Source organism: Homo sapiens, chromosome X (assembly GCF_000001405.40).
Source record: "Homo sapiens chromosome X, GRCh38.p14 Primary Assembly".
Lineage (NCBI taxonomy): Eukaryota > Metazoa > Chordata > Mammalia > Primates > Hominidae > Homo > Homo sapiens.
In genome coordinates this window covers 115,978,745-115,984,744 of record NC_000023.11, presented here as the reverse complement: position 1 = coordinate 115,984,744, position 6,000 = coordinate 115,978,745, and the positions used below count along the sequence as shown (strand labels likewise).

The 6,000-nt window shown below is 39.6% G+C and overlaps 1 annotated feature.

Annotated features, from left to right (window-relative positions):
• Nucleotides 507-1,383: an enhancer, noted in NCBI's record as "NANOG-H3K27ac hESC enhancer chrX:115099695-115100571 (GRCh37/hg19 assembly coordinates)". NCBI's record gives its function as "activates a minimal SCP1, AML or CMV promoter by ChIP-STARR-seq in primed H9 embryonic stem cells {active_cell/tissue: H9 hESC(primed)}" and the evidence as "EXISTENCE:reporter gene assay evidence [ECO:0000049][PMID:30033119]".

Genomic DNA, 6,000 nt, shown 5'->3' with positions numbered 1-6,000 from the left:
GCTGCCCTTAACATTTTTTCCTTTTCCTGCATTTCAACCTTGGTGAAATGATAATCTGACGATTATGTGTCTTGAGGTTGCTCTTCTCGAGGAGTATCTTTGTGGTGTTCTCTGTACTTCCTGAATTTGAATGTTGGCCTGTCTTGCTAGGCTGGGGAAGTTCTGGATAATATCCTGAAGAGTGTTTTCCAACTTGGTTCCATTCTCCCTATCACTTTCCAGTACACCCATCAAATGTAGGTTTGGTCTTTTCACATAGTCCCATATTTCTTGGAGGCTTTGTTCATTCCTTTTCATTCTTTTTTCTCTAATCTTGTCTTCACGCTTTATTTCATTAAGTTTATCTTCAATCTCTGATATTCTGTCTTCCACTAGATCGATTTGGCTATTAATACTCGGGTATGCTTCACGAAGTTCTTGTGCTGTGTTTTTCACCTCCGTCAGGTCATTTGTGTTCTTCTCTAAACTGATTATTCTAGTTAGCAATTCCTGAAATCTTTTTTCAAGGTTCCTAGCTTCCTTGCATTGGGTTAGAACATGCTCTTTTAGCTCAAAGGAGTTTGTTATTACCCACCTTCTGAAGCCTACTTCTGTCAATTCATCAAACTTATTCTCCATCCAGTTTTGTTCTCTTGCTGGAGAGGAGTTGTGATCTTTTGGATGAGAAGAGGCTTTCTGGTTTTTGAAATTTTAAGCCTTTTTGCACTGGTTTTTCCTCATCTTCATGGATTTATCTATCTTCAGTCTTTGATATTGGTGACCTTCAGATGGGGCTTCCGTGTGTATGTCCTTTTTGTTGATGCTGATGCTATTGCCTTCTGTTTGTTAGTTTTCCTTCCAATAGTCAGGCCCCTCTGCTGTAGGTCTGCTGGAGTTTGCTGGAGGCCCACTCCAGACCCTGTTTGCCTGGGTATCACCAGGGGAGGCTGCAGATCAGCAAAGATTGCTGCCTGTTCCTTCCTCTGGAAGCTTCATCCCAGAGGGGTACCCACCAGATACCAGCCAGAGCTCTCCTGCATGAGGTGTCTCTCAACCCCTGCTGGGAGGTGTCTCCCAATCAGGAGGCATGGGGGTCGGGGACCCACTTGAGGAGGCAGTCTGTCCCTTAGCAGAGCTCAAGCAATGTGCTGGGATATCTGCTGCTCTCTTCAGAGCCAGCAGGCAGGGAATTATAAGTCTGCTGAAGCTGTGCCCAGAGCTGCCCCTTCCCCTAGATGCTCTGTCCCAGGGAGATGGGAGTTTTATCTATAAGCCCCTGACTGGGGCTGCTGCCTTTCTTTCAGAGATGCCCTGCCCAGAGAGGAGGAATCTAGAGAGGTAGACTGGCTAAGGCAGCTTTGCTGAGCTGCTGTGGGCTCCACCCAGTTCAAACATTCCAGGGGCTTTGTTTACACTGTGAAGGGAAAACACCCTACTCAAGCCTCAGTAATGTTGGATGCCCCTCCCCCCACCAAGCTTGAGCATCTTAGGTCAACTTCAGACTGCTTTGCTGGCAGCGAGAATTTCAAGCCAGTACATCTTAGCTTGCTGGGTTCTGTGGGGGTGGGATCTACTGAGCTAGGCCACTTGGCTCCCTGGCTTCAGCCCCCTTTTCAGGGGAGTGAACAGTTCTGTCTCGCTGGTTTTCCAGGTGACATTGGGGTATTAAAAAAAAAAAAAACTCCTGCAGCTAGCTCGATGTCTGCCCAAATGGCTGCCCAGTTTTGTGCTTGAAATCCAGGGCCCTGGTGGTTAGGCACCTGAGGAAATCTTGTGGTTTGTGGGTTGCAAAGACCATGGGAAAAGTGTAATATCTGGGCTGGAGTGCACCGTTCCACACAGCAAAGTCCCTCAAGGCTTCCTTTGGCTAGGGGAATGAGTTCCCCAACCCCTTGAGCTCCCTAGGTTAGGCAACACCCCACCCTTCTTTGGCTCGCTCTCCATGGGCTGCACCCAATGTCTAACTAGTACCAATGAGATGAGCCGTATATGTTAGTTGGAAATGTAGAAATCACCCACCTTCTGTGTTGATCTTGCTGGGAGCTGCAGATTGGAGCTGTTCCTATTTGGTCATCTTGCCAGCCACACCTACTTGTTCTCTTTATTTATATATGAATCCCTAGAAAATGTGTCACTATAGCTGATATAAGTATTTTCTACTCTCTGTAAATTCCAAACCTACCCCAGAGCCTTTATAGTCAGTCAATGACCTTGTTTCCCAGTTCACTGAGAAGATGAAAGTCCTCCAATGTGAGCTTGTTTGACTTCACTACTATCCATGTTAAGATTTCTCTGAATCCACACTCCAAGTGCCCCTCCCAAAGTTAGCTTCTCCTCATATACTTTTAGAGCTTGGCACCTACACTAGCACACTGTCCACAATTTCCTTCCATAAATGATTCCTTTGTACATCTACAAATAGGCACACAATCCTTTTGCTTGTATTTTAAAATTAGCTAAACAATCTATAACCACACATAGAATCAGAATTACATGTCTGAAGTATATGAACTGGAAAAGGCCTTCTTAGAAGTCCTGTACTCTTATCTCCCCTTATAATGATGAATAATCTATGATACGCAAGGGGTTGTAAGTGACTGACTTAAGTCCACAGTCAATTAGCAGCAAGGCTGAGATCAGATCTCATAATGAGTGTCTATCATTCTATGACCTGTTTTTACTACTTCATATGCCTCTTTAAATGACCAGAAACAAGAGAAGACATGCTTTCATTCTAAGTGTTGGTGATGAGAAAAAGCATTAAATACTGAAATGTGTTCATTAATTTTAGGGCTGCTTTTCCCAAAATCCATCTTACAGAAATCTTTGGCAAATAAATAATCACAATTTGCTTCAGTCCTGTGTCTCTGGTGAAATTGCTAGCCCCAAATTAAGTGGATTCTAATATCCTGAAAGAAAGTTTTGGATATGCTACTTAAGAACATTAAACACATAAAGGTCTATTAAAAAGCACAGTTTTCCCACCAATAAAACTGACTGCAAATTTGCAAATTTTCTGTTCAAGCTCTTATAATCTATTCTAGAAGCAGAAAGACCTAAGACATTTCTTCAGAAGTCCCAAAGTAACTTGTGTGATTTTATAAAACTTCTGGAAAGTAATCTAATCTCCAATAAAAGTCAATATTGATAAGACAGTAACATATAAGCACTTTAGTTTCCTATCAGAGTTTTTGCCTTGTTCTTCAATTCTTCTTTCTTCCACCAGCAGGAGAGAAATACTATCCTAACGTTTCATACAGCCTGGAAGAAAAATAAAGAAAACTTTGGATAGAGCCTAATATAATTACAAGTATGCTTTCATAAAATAAGATAGTGTATATACATATAACATTAAAATATTTGTAAAGCTGTCATTAGCTCAAAGTCATTTATGTAAATTATTAACATGAAAAAGGCATCCTCAAATTTCACCAAACCTCTATGTAGTAGTAGTATCATATTAAAATTATAAAGTAGAAAATTCCAAGAAGCTAATTGGGCTCACTCTAAGCAAAGAAGGTGGGGATTATTATTTGTTATTTGTTCCTATCAACAAGATTGACTTAAAGACTATAGCAGATAGAACTAGGTAACTATCCCATGGTTCTACAAAGGAACTATCTATAATGAAGAAGTGAAAGTTGAAGGAATGCAATGGAGATTTATTTAGGTTGATTGTTTCTAAAGATAACTTTCAGCAACCTAATATTATTTCATGTCATTTCCCACTTTAATATAATAAGGCAAGTGGTTTTCTTTCATATCTATTAAAGGTGATGCAAAAAGAAATGTTAGATTACCATATGCTGACTTTATCAGGACAAGCAAATCAATATGTGGTGATTATGTTTTAGGTCTAGAAATATAAAGTGATCTGTAGTTAAAACAATATCTACAAGGTCTTGCAAAAGAGAAGGGAAAGGATGTATGACACAAATAAATAAAACAACTATATCAAATACTCAATAATCTTACATTTTTGGAATTTTCTACTGCTTTTTTTTAACTTTTTCAACTTTTGCCTAGTTCCCCAAAAATCTATTAAGATTGAACACAAGTGATTAGAAATTATCAGATCCCTCAGGCATAAGGTGGCTTCCAGCCTCTAATTCTATGCAGATTATTACTTTTATTGTGGTAAACAAATTTATATATATATATATAGGCTGGGTGTGGTGACTCACGCCTGTAATCATAGCACTTTGGGAGGCTGAGGTGGGTAGATCACTAGCTCAGGAGTTTGAGACCAGCCTGGCCAATATGGTGAAATCCCGTCTCTACTAAAAATACAAAAATTAGCTGGTCGTGGTGGCAAACACCTGTAATCTCAGCTACTCGGGAGGCTGAGGCAGGAGAATTGCTTGAACCTGGGAAGCGGAGGTTGCAGTGAGCTGAGATTGCACCACTGCACTCCAGCCTGGGCTACAGACCGAGACTCCATCAAAAAATTTTTTTTTAAATACAGAGCATGTAATTTACCATTTTTCATATTAAAATCTTTTATCAATTGCTTTAAGAGAAACTGACTTACACCATACATAAAACATCAGCTACCACATATTCTTTCCTTAGCTAACTTACTGTTTTCAATGCTGGGCTTATTAAGACCCATAACCAAGTATACATTAATATATTTGACCACATTCCCATGAGTTTTAAAAGGATTTGAAATATTTTCAACTTTCATGGTTATATAATTTTTAAATTTTCTTTCATGGCTTATTATGGGTTGAGGTGTGCCAAAGACCCCATTTTGAAAATAATTATAACTCAAAATTACTCTAAAACCAAAAGCTGCAAGAAAATAATATATAATAAGATTATTGGATTTCTAGTAAAATATTTTATTTAAGTAACATTGGATCTGGAGTGGGAAGTACAAATACATAGTAAAGGAATTTCTCAGGAACATTCAAACACTCCAGGTGCATGCTTTTAAAACACATATGTAACTGACTGAATACTAAATTATTCCTAAATACAATATAAATAACTAAAAAGTCCTCTTTGGAGCAACAATGTAGGTCTCATTATTGTGTATACAGAGGGATTTGGAACTTTAGATTGTGATGAATATGTCTGCCCTCTTCATTGTGCTGATACTTTCACAACTGTCACATATGGCAATATTTATCAAATCATACACTTTAAGGGCAGATTATCATCTGTCAATTATACCTGTACTACCACAGCTTAAAAAAAGGAAAACCTGTGTGACTAAGACAAAGCAACTAAGGAGAAAAGTGGTAAGTGATGAGGGCAGAGTAGCAAGATCTTGCTGACTGCTGACTATGATTGGTCATTGTTTTAATTCAAATTTCTTTTTATTATACTTTAAGTTTTAGGGTACATGTGCACAACGTGCAGGTTTGTTACATATGTATACATGTGCCATGTTGGTGGGCTGCACCCATTAACTCATCATTTAGCATTAGGTATATCTCCTAATGCTATCCCTCCCCCTTCCCCCCACCCCACAACAGGCCCCGGCAAATTTAAAGGAAAAACATTGGAGAGTATTTGGAAGATCTGATATAATTTGAATGATGAAAGACACTGGAATCAAAGATGTGTGAAACTGGAAGAGACACTGAGCTCTTCAAGTCTGGGTGCTCTCTAGAGAGGACGCCATAGACTTCCTTGAAGTTCCTGAATTTTTTTTTGTATGTGCATGTATTTTTAAAAATAAAATTTCCAGGCTGGGCATGGTGGCTTACGCCTGTAATCCCAGCACTTCGAGAGGCCGAGGTGGGTGGATCACCTGAGGTCAGGAGTTTGAGACCAGCCTGGCCAACATGGTGAAATCCTGTGTCTACTAAAAATACAAAAATTAGCCAGGCGTGGTGGTGTGTGCCTGTAATCACAGCTACTCAGGAGGCTGAGGCAGGAGAATCACTTGAAACCGGGAGGCGGAGGTTGCAGTGAGCTGAGAACGCACCATTGCACTCCAGCTGGGTGACAGAGCAAGACTTTGCCTCAAAAAAAAATAAAAAATAAATAAAATAAAATTTCCACATCATT